Genomic DNA, 15925 nt, shown 5'->3' with positions numbered 1-15925 from the left:
TTTTCCACCTTTACTGAAAACCAATAAAAATTTTATCAAAGACCAGCTTCTAGGAACCTAAATTGGTGAATTTAGGAATTAGCCAATTGCTCTTTCCTTGGCATGGAGTTGGTTTGGGCATTTCCCCATATTTTATCTTATTTTGTTGTTTGTTTTATGATTATATATATTTTCTTCCTTTCAAAACGACATTTGTGAGCAGCATCTGTGTCATCTTTTTTTAATGCTGGGCACACATGTGTACGCAGCCTGAGTGTTTGGAGTTGAGTGTTTTGTATGTTGGATTGAGAGCACACAGAAGGGCTACGGCTGGGGAGCCATGATCAGCAGTGGAGGGGCTTCCTGTGCTTCAAGAAAAGCCTCAGTGGTGGAAGACATGGGATGTGTTTTTGATGAGGATTTCAGGAGTTGAAACATAAGTGAAATAGTATCCTACAAAAGGCTTTGAACTATTGATAAATTAATTCAAGATCTTACCAGTTTATAAGGCAGTCATATAAAGAGATACAAATTTTGGTATTTTTATAAGACAATAATTTTATTTCAGTTTGAGTCTTCATGGGAAACCTGACACATGGGGGGAAATGTCTTTTGATAACTTTAATTTTTGTTAGTTTGAAGGCATGCATAAGAATGAAGCCATAAGCCAACAGCTTCATGTTTTACGGAAGGAAGTGAAGCAGTTGCAAGCAGAAGCTGCTAAACCACCATCACTTAATATTGTGGAAGCTGCTGTACATGCAGAAAACTTGATCACGTAAGTTTTGCAGGCATTATAATTTGAAATACTGTTTTGTTATCATGAATAGTAATCATACATGCTACTATACCACCACCACCCCTGCAGCACCCACAGGTTAATTTAGTACAGACATCAGCAAACTACGGCCTTTGAGTCAAATCTGGCCTGCTACTTATTTTTATAAATAAAGTTTTATTGCAACACAGCCATCCCCATTTATTTATAATTTCTATGGCTTTTATGCTGCAGCAGAAGGATTGAGTGGTTGTAACAGAGATATAAAGCAGAAAATATTAACTATCTGGCCCTATATAGAAAAAGTTTGCTGACCCCTGAATTGTGAGATGATATAGTGCATTGAAATTCAGTTGTGGAGAGATTTAGTGCTTATGTGTTATATCAAAGTCACATTTACCCAGGAACTTATCCTTGTCAACTCAGATGACTGAACAAAGTTCATAGCACAATTATTTAGGGGAATTAGGACTCTCAAGTGTGGTTGTGAACTTGCATTTGACCATCGTTTTCTTTTGGCTTTCATTGTGGCTTTCTCTCACTGTCCTCTTTCTTTCCAAAGCCACCATGACATGACTTGGGAGGTGGGGGTTGACTCTGCCTTTACTTTAAGGTGACTGACTCCACATTCCAGTTCCAACAGCTGATCCCCTCAGTAGAGTAGGATGGTGTATGGAGGGGAGCATCGAGTCCTTTTGTGTGTTGGGCTGGGGCTCCTGGGAAGGAGGAGACCAGGCAAACAAGAGGTTGATGTTTCTTTTACTGGGAAAGGGACACAAAAAGGTGTGAGAATTGGAAGGGCTATCTTTATTCTAGGATCTTATTCTACACAGAAATCTTTATCTCAACTTTAGTCAGTGTTTTGGATTTTAAAATGTAGAGAAATCAGGGTTTTGTGTTTAAAAAAATTATATAAAGAATACAAAAAGTTAAATAACAAATTATGAATTACATGCAAAATATGAACATTTTTAATAAGGATGAGAATGTTAATTAGTTCTTATAGCTGATTTTTTTCCCCTAGGAGACTATGAAATTATTACTAAGTATTGAAAATCGGCCAGATGCAGTGGCTCACGCCTGTAATCCCAGCACTTTGGGAGGCCAAGGTGGGCGGATCACTTGAGGTCAGGAGTTTGACATAAGCCTGACCAACGTGGTGAAACCCCATCTCTATTAAAAATACAAAAATTGGCCAGGTGCGGTGGCTCATGCCTGCAATCCCAGCACTTTGGGAGGCCGAGGCGGGCAGATCACCTGAGGTCAGGAGTTCAAGACCAGCCTGGCCAACATGGTGAAACCCCGTCTCTACAAAAATACAAAAAAATTAGCTGGGCATTATGGCAGCTGCCTGTAATCCCAGTTCCTTGGGAGGCTGAGGTGTTAGAATCGCTTGAACCCTGGAAGTGGAGGTTGCAGTGAGCTGAGATTGCGCCATTGCACTCCAGCCTGGGTGACAGAGTGAGACTCCGTCAAAAAATAAATAAATAAATAAAATAAAATAAATAAAAGAAAAATACAAAAATTAGCCAGGTGTGGTAGCGTGTGCCTGTAATCCCAGCTACTCAGGAGGCTGAGGCAGGAGAATCACTTGAACTCGGGAGGCGAAGGTTGTGGTGAGCCGAGATCACACCATTGCACTCCAGTCTGGGTGACAGAGTGAGACTCTGTCTCCCCCACCCCAAAAAGAAAAAAAAAAAGAAAATCAGTTGTCAGTAAAATTGGAAGATACATATATTTACTCCATGAAATATTTCTAAAGTGACATTTTCATGGGTGCTCTGAGGATTCTTAAGAATATTGCCTGAGAAATTGTAGGGTATCAAAGAAGGCCTTGTGAGTATGGAATCTTTTACTGTAGACTGCAGTCTTACCCACATTTTCCCACAGGGCCTTAGTGAATGCCTACAAGTTGCAGCCTACACCTGGGATTCAGAAAGTTGGCATTAGCCTTTTCTTTACTATTGTGGATTACGTCAGCGATGAGACGCAGCGTCATCCCCCAACAAGGCAGTTCTTTACTTCATGTATTGAGATCTTGGGACAGGTAAGGCTATCTGTACCTTTTGCCTTGATCAGATAATGAGTCTCTGCGGTGTCTGTCTTCTTTGGATATAGTCAGCATTGACTTCAGACTTATATTACAGGTTCAGAGTCTTACCCAAGTCAGAAGCCTCTTGGAGTTGTAGGCTTCTCAAAATATGATTAGAATTGTTGGTATAGAATTTTGCTTCTCATACAAGGGAGATTATTCATATTTGAAAGTCTAGGGAGACATCAGAACTTGTCATATATCCTTGGTGTTCTTAACAATAACAGTACTAAATCTCTTCATTGTTTATAAAAATACTTCCCAGTTTGTTTAATCCTCATGGGGAATCTGTGTGATTGAGATTCCCTTCTTAAAGATGAGAAAACTAGGTTCTAGAAGATTAAGTGACTGGCCTAAAGAATTCAGCTGGTGAGTGTGGAGCTGAGACTGGATCCCAGGGCTTCTGACAACACTCAGTGCTTGCTCCACCTCCCCACTGCTGTGTCCCGGTTGCTAGTCTTGGTCAACATTTATTTGTTTGTTTATTTATTTATTTGGCTTACAGTGACATAGATAGATATTTAATAAGGGTAAGGGTAATCATACAGATTTATGAAATGTTTCATAAAAGAAAGGAAAACCTCTTGTTTGAAATATGTAAACACTAGTTAACCATGTACTCTCACCCAAATTCAACTGAATGAGTACTTACTTATTGGATGCTTACAAGGAAGTAATGCTGAACAGGTATCATCATTGATTTTTTTGTAGGAAGTTTTTTATCCTGATCATAAAATTAATGTGTGCTGGTCCGGTGGGGTGGCTCACACTTGTAATCCCAGCACTTTGGGAGGCTGAGGTGGGCAGATCATCTGAGGTTGGGAGTTCAAGACCAGCCTGACCAACATGAAGAAACCCTGCCTCTACTATAAATACAAAATTAGCTGGGTGTGGTGGTGCGTGCCTATAATCCCAGCTACTTGGGAGACTGAGGCAGGAGAATTACTTGAAACTGGGAGGCAGAGGTTGCGGTGAGCGGAAATCATGCTATTGCACTCCAGCCTGGGCAACAAGAGCAAAACTCTGTCTCAAAAAAAAAATTAATGTATGCTTATTATAAGCAATGCAGACAGCATAGAAAGTATGAAGAAGAAAACTTTCTTATAATCCTAACTACCTAGAAATACTGACTACATAGCTAACATTTCATTATAGTTTGTCTTGTATATGTGTGTCTATTTGTGTATATGTATATGTAAACATATTTCTACATATATAGAGATATATAGATATGGATAGGCACTTAAAATGGGCTCATGCTATTTTGTAACCTCCTTTTTCATTTAAACACATCTTTTAGACATTATTTCATGTTAATAAATACAGACCTATATCATGACATTGCATGTCTGTATAGTGCTCCATGATACAGATTTATTACAGTGTGTTGAGCTAGTGTTTGATGGATGGATATTTAGGTAGATTGTTTTGCTGCAATCAGGCTGAGGTAAATATTCTTGTATGTCTTTGTGAACTTGTTGGACTATTTTCTTTAGGATAATTTCTTAGAGGTATGATTGCTGTGTCAAAGGAATTTGATACACATTGTATATTTGATGTTTTACATCATGCTTGACATAGTCACTCTGCCTTCCCTGGGAATTTTGCACCTACTTATGCTATCATTGCAGTGTTTGAGTTTGTTATTCTTCATACCATAACCAACATTAGGAACTCTCATTCTTTTAAGTTTTGCTAATCTGATAAGGGAGTGGTATTTCATTATTATTTTAATTTGTACTTCTTTAAGTACTTGTTAAGTTATATGCCTTTTCATATGTTTATTGGCCATTTATATATACTTTTGTGAATTGGTGATTGTGGTCCTTTGTACACTTTCTGTTGGAGATTCTTGTTTTCCGATTGCTTTGAAAGAGCTCCTCACACTATTAACCTGGCATCTGGAATGTGTTAAAAAAACATTTTTCCAGTTTGTCATTTTTTTCCTTTAATTTTATGATATTTTTGCCTTATAGAAGTTAAAATTTTAATATATTCAAGCCTATCAGTCTTGTTCTTTTATTATTTCCGCCTGTGGTCAACCATATGAAAGCCTTCCTGCCGGTGAAATTGTTTCAATTTTTGCTTATATTCTGTACTTTTAAATATTAGAACCAAGTTAAAACAAGATGACGTCATCTTGATTATATATTATTATGGAAGTTAGTTTTTGACAGGTATTAAATATAACTCTCAGTAAAATCTATAACCTGGAAGTTTTGTTTTCTGACGTAATGCAGCACCATGTTGGGTACTGTAGTAATCATGGTGGGGACATTGCATGTTTGTGGATTCAAAGTACCCCAATATTTTAATGTCTTAAAAGTCTTGTAGTATAGTTAACTTATCATTTTTTTTTTCTTTATTGAGACGGCATCTTGCTCTGTCGCCCAGGCTGGAGTGCAATGGTGTGATGTCAGCTTACTGCAACCACTGCCTCCCGGGTTCAAGCAATTCTCCTGTCTCAGCCTCCTAAGTAGCTGGGATTACAGGTGCCCACCACCACGCCCAGCTAATTTTTGTATTTTTAGTAGAGACGGGGTTTCACCACGTTGGCCAGGCTGGTCTTGAGCTCCTGACCTCAGGTGATCCGCCTGCCTCGGCCTCCCAAAGTGTTGGGATTACAAGCGTGAGCAACTGCACCCGGACTAACTCAGCATTTTCTGTGTGACTTGTCCAAATCAGATTTATGGATTCTTCAGAATTTCTAATATTACTTCCATTGGAAGCAATAGGCTTATCTATGTTGATTTTAGCTGTCTTTTGATTGTTTCAGACTTTTGTTTAGAAAAAAATTCTATTCACCTTATTTGGTGCCCCTTAAAAATTTGCTTGCTTAAATAAAGGTTGTGAGGGAAGAATCTGGTGACATTTTTCCTTTTTATTTTTCCAAGGTATTTATCAGTGGCATTAAATCAGAGTGCAGAAAAGTACTTGAAACCATTCTGAAGAACAGCAGGCTCTGCTCCCTGCTGTCTCCTTTCTTCACTCCCAATGCTGCACCTGCAGAGTTCATACAGCTGTATGAGCAAGTGGTGAAGTTTCTAAGTGAGGACAACAGTGATATGATTTTCATGCTGCTAACCAAGGTAAGATGTAATTCCATCCTCACCATATTGTTGAAACGTAGGAATGATTGTTGCTTCCTCCTCTACAGAAATAAAAGGACCTCTGCAGTTTTGTTTCCAGGTACAGCAGAGGCTGAGAGGCCTTTTTCACAGTTTGCATGAGCTTCAAGCAGTCTGACCCCACAGCTGCTTCTTAGGGGGTGGGGCATTGGTTGTCTTGTATAGCAGTGGTCTCCAACCTTTTTGGCACCAGGGACCGGTTTTATGGAATACAGTTTTTCCATGGACTGGAGTAGAGGGGATGGTTTTGGGATGAAACTGTTCCACCTCAGATCATCAGGCATTAGATGGAGCATGCAACCTATATCCTTCACATGCACAGGTCACAATAGGGTTCGCACTTCTATGAGACTCTAATGCCATGGGTGATCTGACAGGAGGTGGGGCTTGGGGATCCCTGTTGTATAGGGTAGTCTTATTCCACTTAGTGTAAAAAGGACCTAATTCCCACCCCTTTTTAAAAACTTAATACAGTTTTGAAAATATTCATAATAGTAGTTTAGTACATCCTTTTTTAAAATTTATCCTGAATTTATGCCTAAATTGTGTTTGACAAAGGTTTTGTTAGTCTCTCTCATATTTAGAATAAGCTGGATCTAAGCAAATTGCCTTTGATCTCATTCTGAATATTAACTTTAATATTTTATTTTATATTAATATTATATTTTATATTAATATCTTAGTATATAACATTAGAATATTAACTCTGTTAGACCAAGGTAATGAGTTTACTTAAGCAGTTGAGAATTTCAGAGTCTTAGCTACTTTGCCTTCACTTGTATTTCTGTTACATCTATGAATCAAAACCTTGGCAGTTTTGGTCGGGTGCAGTGGCTCCTATGTGTAATCCCAGCACTTTTGGAGGCCAAGGCATGAAGATTGCTTGAGCGTAGGAATTTGAGACCAGTCTGGCCAACACAGAAACCCTGTCTGTACAAAAAAAAAAAAAAAAAAAAAAAAAAACACCAGGCTAGTGGTACTCCCAGCTACTTCAGAGGCTGAGGTGGGAGAATTGCTTAAGCCCTGGAGGTTGAGGCTGCAGTGAGCTGTGATTGCACCACTGCACTCCAACCTGGGTGATGGAGTGAGACCTGTTGTGAAAAAAAAAAAAAAAAAGACAACCTTGACAATTTTAGGGCCTACAGATTGATCTCAGCCTATAATGGAGGAGAACATGTTTTATAGTTTGGGATTTTGGAAGGGAATATCAACAGTCTGAATTTTATTAACTGAGACAGGTAACTGATGCAGACCAGAAACATGGCTGTTAAATTGAGACAGTTCCATAAAGTGGCTGCTTATTTGTGGCACTGTCGCCAGTGAAGGAGAGCTACGAAGTTCTGATCCAGTTCTTGGAGAGGAAACTTATTATAAGACAGAAATGTATGAGACTCTGAGGAACAGTATAAAATTATAAGCCAATAATGAATCATCAGTAAAATTTTTAAATTGCAAGAAAAGCACACAGAGCTTAGAAAACTCTGCCTCTGAGATTCTAGATAGTAACACAGAAATAGATGCATAATGGCACCAATTAGTGAACTACTTTTTTTTTTTTTTTTTTTGTTGTGAGACGCAGTTTCGCTCTTGTTGCCCAGGCTGGAGTGCAATGGCGTGATCTCGGCTCACTGCAACCTCCGCCTCCTGGGTTCAAGCTATTCTCCTGTCTCAGCCTCCTGAGTAGCCGGGATTACAGGCATATGCCACCATGCCTGGCTAATTTTGTATTTTTAGTAGAGACCGGATTTCTCCATGTTGGTCAGGCTGGTCTTGAACTCCCGACCTCAGGTGATCAGCCTGCCTTGGCCTCCCAAAGTGCCGGGATTACAGGTGTGAGCCACCGCACCCGACCCAATTAGTGAACTTCTTATATTCTTTTATGTACTTCTCTTTTTATTATTTATTTATTTATTTTACAATTAGCTTCCTCAGGTTGAATCTTTTATGTACTTGTTTATACATTTTAATTTCAATTTTTATAAAATGCTGGGTAATTTTTGGCTTTTAAACTAAATTTACACAGACCTCTCTCCTCTTAAACTATTTTTCTAGTGCAAATAAAACGGCTTTTTGTTTCTTTTTCTTTTTAGTTCGATCTTAAACAATGGTTAAGCGCCACTAAACCTCCTCTGTCTGATCGTACCAGGCTTCTGGAGTCCATTCACTTGGCACTTACTGCCTGGGGCCTTGAACCAGATGAGGATATTTTGATGCCATTTAATCTTTTCTGTAAGCACTGGACTTATCTTCTTCTCTACCAGTTTCCTGACCAGTACAGTGACATTCTCAGGCTGCTTATGCAAAGTAAGTGTCTTCATTTAATTGTAACTAACTAGATCTTAGTGAATATTTAATATCACATTTTTCATCTTACAGATGTTATTCAAAGATATGAAAGTAATACCAGTATAGGAGTTTAGAATCACTAATTGTCATCTAAAGGGCTTGATGAACAAGGCCCAAAAAGTTGTTACTGTAAATATGGCCAGTTATTGTTCTAAATTTGAGAATGGGCTCTAATTGGGCAAGGCAGCACCTCCAGTTTGGTGGAGTCCACAGTCATGCAGGTACTTCTTTGTCTTGACTTTTCAGCTGTCTTGAAGTGGGGTGGGAAAGGACTGGCTTACTCTGCAGACGACAGATCTGGCAAAGCAAGGAGGTTGTGCCTTATGATATGTTTAATATGACAGTTTGTTTCTCTGTAGTTCCAAACATTTTGGGAGTTTTTCCTTTCTAAGTCTTTTACTCTTGTTTTTTGCAAATTAATTTTATCCATATGTAATGATAGACTTTATTTATATTTACCAAGGGAAAGAGCAGCATTACAATCTCCACATTCCTGCCACTTCTGTTCCCCCTTCTTACAATTTTCTATAGCAATTTTAGAGTTTAGAGGAGAAATAAATAGGGTAGGCTTTTTTATTTTTGGAGTTTCGCTAGGCAGTAATTTTATTAAAATTTGATAAATGAGATAGTATTTACTTTTTAATGCAAACTTCATACGGTTTATAGATATAATAGCAAATGAAATTTTGCTTTATACCAAATTTTTGTGTTACATCATAGAAATAGTTTAATGGATAAGTTAATGATCCAGTGTATCGGGTTGCCCAAAGGACCTTGAAATGTGCAGCCTCTCATTTTGAAAGCACTTCAAGCTTTAATTGTTTCCCACAGAGGCAGGTTGCAGGGTGGGTGGAGAATGGTGGAAGGGAAATACATTTGTACAAATGCCAATGAATATGTGCATAGCTAATTTTTTCTCTAAGCTTTTAAAGTTTCAAATAGTGTGTGTTGTGGATTTTTCCCTGAAATCTTTTAAAGAGATTGTAAACCATTTATATTAGACCACTATTGACTGGAATTTAGCTAGAAATTTGTTCTTACCAAGAAAAGTAATTCAGACTTAAGAATAACAATATGATACCTCTCAGATGTCATGAGCTTCAGCCTCCTGGTTTCTTTCTCCTCCTTGGCTACCATGTTGATGTTCCCTTGGGAGCATCCTTTGCTCTTCTACTGCATTCATTCCCTCTGGGTGAGCCCGTTGTTTTCCCTGATGTCACTGCCACCTTCTAGGCATGTGTGATTTCCAGTGATAGCTTAATTTTGGGGCGCTGTCCTAAGATCCAGACCCCAGTGGCCATTGGACACAGACTGGCACTGTCCCCAGGTACCTCACACTGGACATATTGTAACTGGCCTCACCATCGTTCTCCTCAGACCTGCTCCATGAACCTGTTATTTTAGTTGATTCTCATGTTCGCTCTGGGTGGAAAGTACTTTAGGAGATATTATTCCTGTCCTGTGGGATGGGAAGTTATTAAGTAGCAGAGTTGGGACTAGTTCAGAATATGGGCTGCTGGACTTGTCCAGCGTTTCCATGCTGCCTCTGGGTCTTGGTTTCGGGGAATTGGGGGGCCGGTAGGAGACTCCTTCTGGAGAGCCCAGGCCCTGAGTTGCCTTCATCATGTGGTTTCCGTTGTCCTGTGACTGTTGTTTCTGTCACACTCATAGATAGCTGTGGTCCCCCAGCCAGGAGAGGCACTGCCACCATTCCCCAGTCAGGGTCGGAGGGTCAGGTCTCCCACCCCTCTGAGTGTAGCTCCACCAGCTTCAGCAGCGCTCACTCCCAGCAGGGTTACCAGGAACCAGGAAAACCAAATGTGCAGGTGGCCAGTTCTTCTCTTAGGTTCTCTTTACTTGGGCCTCCTCACCCCAGATATCCCTGTGAGTTTGTTTTGGATTTTGGCTTTATTTTTATTCCTTTATAAGGTGCTCATATTCTTTGTTACAAGTTAAAATATTCCTTTCGGGAAAGCCACTGACTTGCTCTTCCTGTCCCTGCTGGCAGGCTCCGCGGAGCAGCTTCTGAGCCCCGAGTGTTGGAAGGCCACTCTGAGAGCCCTGGGCTGCTGCGCCCCCAGCTGCCAGCAGGGGGCAGCGTCCACCGAGGGCGCCGTGCTTCCCAGCTCTTCTGATGCTCTCTTGTCAGACAAGCAGGTGTGTAGCCTTTGGTCTCTGACGTGTTTGTGCATTTCTTTTTATTTCCCTTGCTATTCATTTTTTAAGCAGTTGGAAAACTTGTGCATTATCTTTAAGAGCCATGTGTTTTTCTTTGTGTTAAGTGCTTTGGTTCCCTCGTGTCCCCTTTTTCCAGATGGCTCACCCCATTCCCCTGAGTCTAATTCTTGCCCATGTATCCAAGACAAGGGCAGGCACTCCCCTGTAGATCTTTCCTGCCCACCCTAGCCCATCGGACTCCACCCTGAGACCTCTGGTCGGGTTTCTATGATGCAGTGTCCCATGGAGCTCTGGGTTTTATCCTTTCTGTTTGATATGCATTTGCATGAGAATTTATTTGAAATAATGGTTCCACTGATTTAGAAAAGGTTTGAAACCCACTGATGGCCTGGCGCGGTGGCTCATGCCTGTAACCCCAGCACTTTGGGAGGCCAAGGTGGGCGGATCACTTGAGGTCAGGGATTCGAGACCAGCCTGGGCAACATGGTGAAACCCTGTCTCTACTAAAGAATACAAAAATGAGCTGGGCATGGTGGTGCACGCCTGTAGTCCCAGCTACTCAGGAGGCTGAGGTAGGAGAATCGCTTGAACCCAGGAAGCGGAGGTTGCGATGAGCCAAGATCGTGCCACTGCACTCCAGCCTAGGCGACAGAGCAAGACTCTACCTCAAAACAAAAACAAAAACAAAAAACCATTGATTTATTTCTCATATGCTTTATATTTTTGCCACTCTCTTATAAAGTCAAAGACCTACTATATACACCCCCATCACAGTGTATCATAACACTTTACTAAAATACATATTTAGTAAGCATTTTTTGACTAGTTGTCTCTTCCAGGTAATGGAGACTATACAGTGGCTTTCAGACTTTTTTTATAAGCTTCGGTTATCCAAGATGGACTTTAAAAGCTTTGGTTTATTCTCAAAATGGAGTCCTTATATGGCTGATGTGAAGACATTCTTGGGCTACCTTGTGAAAAGGCTGATTGACTTAGAAATGACCTGTTTGGCCCAAGACCCAACTGCCAGCAGGAAAACAGGTAATATACTTCTCATGCGATGTGGAGCTAGGTGTTTGGACTTTCCATTAAGAGAGATTTAAATAGGCACATTAAGAGATTTATATTGAGTGTCAAGGAGAGAAAGTAGAAATATATAGAACAGGCATGAGCCCATATATGTGTCATATATGTCACAATATATGAATGGATATATTCATTACATAGTGAATGTAGGGTGCTTGCTATAGCTTGTCTCTGCCCCTCCTTTGCAGGTTGGGGTACAGAGAGGTTTCAGTTTCCAACCCTTTCTGTCATTTGTCTTACTAAGATGGGGTTCTAAATCTTATACATTTATCTTTTTTAAAAGTGTGTTATAAAATTATCCATGATATTGTATTGTAATACAAATTCTTCAATTCAGAGAAATTCCAGTGTAGCCAATGAAAACGTAAACATACATAGTTACACTAAGCATGTTGTTTATACATTAACATAGGTTTATGAAGCTACAGATAATAAGAGGTAGATTTTTCTATATAATGTGAGCAGTGATATTGACAAATGACAAATGATGACCTTTGTTTTGTCTCTAAAACTTTTTAGTGCTGAAATCCCTACATTCAGTAATCATTCAGCTCTTTAAGCCATGGATCCTGGTTTTAGAGGACAACGAAAGGTAAACAGTTTTTTAGATATTCAAATTCCTTTGACGTTTGTAGACTTAAAATTCTAAATGGTATTTGGTAGAAGTGATGAGTTCACAGATTTAATTTTTTAGTGTAAGGCCATATTTAAATTTAGAAAAGGCTTCTTTTCAAAACTTAAGACATTTTCTATTTATGGAATTGCTAGTCTGGATCATCAGAGATATTATCTTGATAATAATTTTGGAACAAAACTGGACACTCATTTCCAGTTTTCCACAATAAGAGGTTGAATAAACTTTAGTGTTTAATTTCAGAAAAAATGATGCTGTTCGCTTGAGGGTTTTATGAGACTGATTTTTCTCTACTACATCAGTTGTGTTTTGGAACTAAGTTGGCTATAAAATTATTGGGTGGGAATTACCTTTAAATCTAGGACTCTTCAATTAAAGCATTATTTCACAAGCATTTGAAATACTTAGAGGTATAGAGCTGTCCAAATTCAGTGAGTTGCCTTCTGAGTCTTTTTTTTCCCTGAAAGTATACAAGCAGAAGCTAGTTGAACTTGTCAGGGTTTTATAAAAATTACGACAGTGGTAAACATCACATTATAGGAGTTGTTTTCAAAAACTTGAATTTGATTCTGAGACTCAGAGAACATGAATGTCAAACTCAAGTCTCATAGCTGGTTGGTTAGTGCTGAAGCTGCGACTAGAACTCAGGTCTTAGACTTCTGTTTCTAGACTCTTTGCATTAACCCATGATGCTTTACGAGCCACTTAAGGAAAGTATAAAAGGTTCTGAATGTTTGCTTTTGCTAGAGGGCTATCTGAATAATCTGCAAGCTTCAGGATTTTATAGTGACTGTGTACATATAGACTGCTTACCATAGTGCTGGCTGCTTGTTTATTTCCAGTAAGAATTAACGGAACCTATTTGGATATTGAGTTTTCTAGACCAGATTCAGAAAATAAAAAAAAATTTTTTTTAAGACAGAGTCTCACTCTGTTGCTCAGGCTGGAGTGCAGTGACGTGATCTTGGCTCACTGCAACCTCTGCCTCCCAGGTTCAAGCGATTCTCCTGCCTCAGCCCCCTGAGTAGCTGGAATTACAAATGCATGCTACCACGTCCAGCTATTTTTCAATTTTAATTTTTATTTTTTTTGTATTTTTAGTAGAGACAGTGTTTTGCTATGTTGGCCAGGCTGGTCTTGAACTCCTGACCTCAAGCAGTCTGCCCACTTCTGCCTCCCAAAGTGCTGGGATTACAGGCATGAGCTCCCGTGCCCAGCCAATTAAATTTTTCATATAAAGAATTTCTCTGGGCCAGGCGTGGTGGCTCATGCCTGTAAACCCAGTACTTTGGGAGGCCAAGGCAGGTGGATCACTTGAGGTCAGGACTTCAAGACAAACCTGGCCAATATGGTGAAACCCTGTCTCTGCTAAAAATACAAAAATTAGCTGGATGTGGTGGTCGGTGCCTGCAACCCCAGTTGCTCGGGAGGCTGATGCAGAAGAGTTGCTTGAACCCTGGAGGTGAAGGTTGCAGTGAGCCAAGATCGTGCCACTACACTGTAGCCTGGGTGGCAGAGAAAGACTCTCTCTCTCAAAAAAAAAAAAATTTTATTTGCTCATTTTCTATTTGTTAATATTTGGCCATCTCTTTGTTATGTGAATTTGATTTTTTTTTTTTAATGCTTTGAGTAGAGAAAACTGTTGAAGCTGACTTAGGGTGTTTTTCTACGGCATTTGAAATGTAACCAAGATGTCCAAGGGTCTAAATTTGATGTAAAAAGATGTTAATTTAAGGGTTATTTAGATAGCACATTTTTGAAATCTAATTGCATTGGAATAAAGGGTATGAAGGAGATGAAAGAAAATTATATGGCTGGTGTTACAAGCTACAATTCGCCTGCAGTTATTTACAGCCTTTTAAGTATTCTAAATGTGTGTCAGGCCTACATAATGGACAGGCTTCCAGGACTTAGGCCAGCCCTAGACACTGGGACTTAACAGTATTTTAATCACGGTTGCATTCCTAAGTGTGTGCTTCTTTTCTTTAAAGCAGCCAACAGCGGCATTACCCCTGGCTAGAGAGTGATACTGTGGTGGCCTCAAGCATTGTGCAGCTGTTCACTGACTGTATTGACTCACTGCATGAGAGTTTTAAAGGTAGGAAGATGTCAGGCTGTCTCTGCTTAGTTTTCATTTTTCCCTAAGTCAGTCAGTCTTTTTCTTCTACTTTCCTCTATTTAATTTTTATTTAATAGGCAGTTATTTGTGACTGAAGAAAAGTCGCTGATACAATTATTTAGTGTTAAGTGTGTAACTTTTTTTTTTTTTTTCTTTTGGAGATGGAGTCTTGCTCTGTCGCCCAGGCTGGAGTGCAGTGGTGTGATCTGGGCTCACTGCAGCCTCTGCCTCCCAGATTCAAGCAATTCTCCTGCCTCAGCCTCCCGAGTAGCTGGGACTACAAGCGCATGCCGCCACACCTGGCTAATTTTTTTGTAGTTTTAGTAGAGACGGGGTTTCACCATGTTGCCCAGGCTGGTCTCAAACTCCTGAGCTCAGGCTATCTGCCCGCCTCGGCCTCCCAAAGTGCTAGGATTACAGGTGTGAGCCACCACGCCCGGCCTTTAGGTGTGTAACTTCTTACCTTTTTTTGTTAGGTTGCTCTGAGTTTCTCAGTTATGGTAAATTTGCAGTCTTTCTCTCTTCCAATATTGCCTGTCCTGCATGTTGAGTTTCTTCCTGTCCTCCCTAACTCTTAACCTCTTTTTCATATTTTCTGTCTTTTTTTGCTTTATTATGGGTAATTTCTAGAGGTCTTCCTTCCATTTCTTTAGTCTCTCTCCAGCTCTGTCTCATCTGCTTAAAATATATCAATTGAATTTTTCATTGAAGTGATTATTTTTTCCATTTCTAGATCTATTTGTTTGTTTTTCAAATGTACCCTGATCCTTTTTGGTAGTATCTTTTCTTTCATTTAAAATTCTATTTTTTATTTCCTTAGAATTTGTTTAAACATGCTTACTTTATGATGTATGTACATTAATTCTATTATCTGAAATTCCTGTTGGGGGTTGTCTTATGCTGCTGTTTAATTTTCCTTTGGATTCTTGTTCTTGGAGGCATGTTTCCTTGTGTGTTTTTAAATTTTGTATTGTGAGCCCATATTTAGAGAGACTGATGGGAATCTCATAAGGCCTAGGCTGAGGGTGTGTAAGTCCTCCAGAGAGGATCTACATTTGTTGTCAATTGGAACTACTTAACTTCTTGGTTTGGGGTTTCCCGTGCTACCAGTTACATGAAATGAAACCCCAAACTCACTTGCGGGCTGGCCTCAATTCTCACAGTAAACTTTTTGATCTCTCCTGACTCACAATCTAGGGTAAGGCAGAGAAGTTTCCTCTTTTGCCCCATTCTACCCTTTCAGTAAGAATATAGTCCTTAGAAAACCTCATGTTCTGTCCTCTTGTGCTGTTAAAACTCAGCAGGCAAATAGTCCTCGGTTGGCTGGTTTCAGCATCTGTTTAACACTCTGGCTTCCTCTTTGCTTCTGGCCCATGGTGTTTTCTTCCACTGAATACACCTAGTGCCCCTGTGGCTGCCATGTGTTTGTGTGGCATTTAGTTATAGAGTGATATGGTTTGGCAGTGTCCCCACCCAAATGTCATCTTGAATTGTAGCTACCATGATTCCCATGTGTTGTGGGAGGGAGCCAGTGGAAGATAATTGAATCATGGGGGCGGTTTCCCTCATACTGTTCTCCTGGTGG

At 39.9% G+C, this 15925-nt stretch overlaps 1 protein-coding gene across 21 annotated transcripts in view; it reads left to right on the top strand.

Annotated features, from left to right (window-relative positions):
* The window catches only part of EPG5 (ectopic P-granules 5 autophagy tethering factor), a 166749-nt gene that overhangs the window by 76775 nt on the left and 74049 nt on the right, over positions 1-15925 (top strand). For 11 of the 21 annotated variants that reach the window (XM_047437710.1, NM_001410858.1, XM_047437703.1 and 8 more), the window contains 8 exons: positions 615-757; positions 2648-2804; positions 5744-5938; positions 8068-8281; positions 10332-10480; positions 11341-11542; positions 12107-12179; positions 14213-14319. In XM_047437710.1, coding sequence (XP_047293666.1) covers positions 615-757; positions 2648-2804; positions 5744-5938; positions 8068-8281; positions 10332-10480; positions 11341-11542; positions 12107-12179; positions 14213-14319 — 1240 coding nt within the window. Of the gene's footprint in view, positions 1-614; positions 758-2647; positions 2805-5743; positions 5939-8067; positions 8282-10331; positions 10481-11340; positions 11543-12106; positions 12180-14212; positions 14320-15925 lie in introns of those variants that run through there. The other 10 variants (XM_047437706.1, XM_047437704.1, XM_047437709.1 and 7 more) reach the window with 3 other exon arrangements.

This window comes from Homo sapiens, chromosome 18 (assembly GCF_000001405.40).
Source record: "Homo sapiens chromosome 18, GRCh38.p14 Primary Assembly".
NCBI lineage: Eukaryota > Metazoa > Chordata > Mammalia > Primates > Hominidae > Homo > Homo sapiens.
The sequence above is the reverse complement of the archived record's forward strand: the minus strand, read 5'-3'. Positions and strand labels throughout refer to the sequence as shown.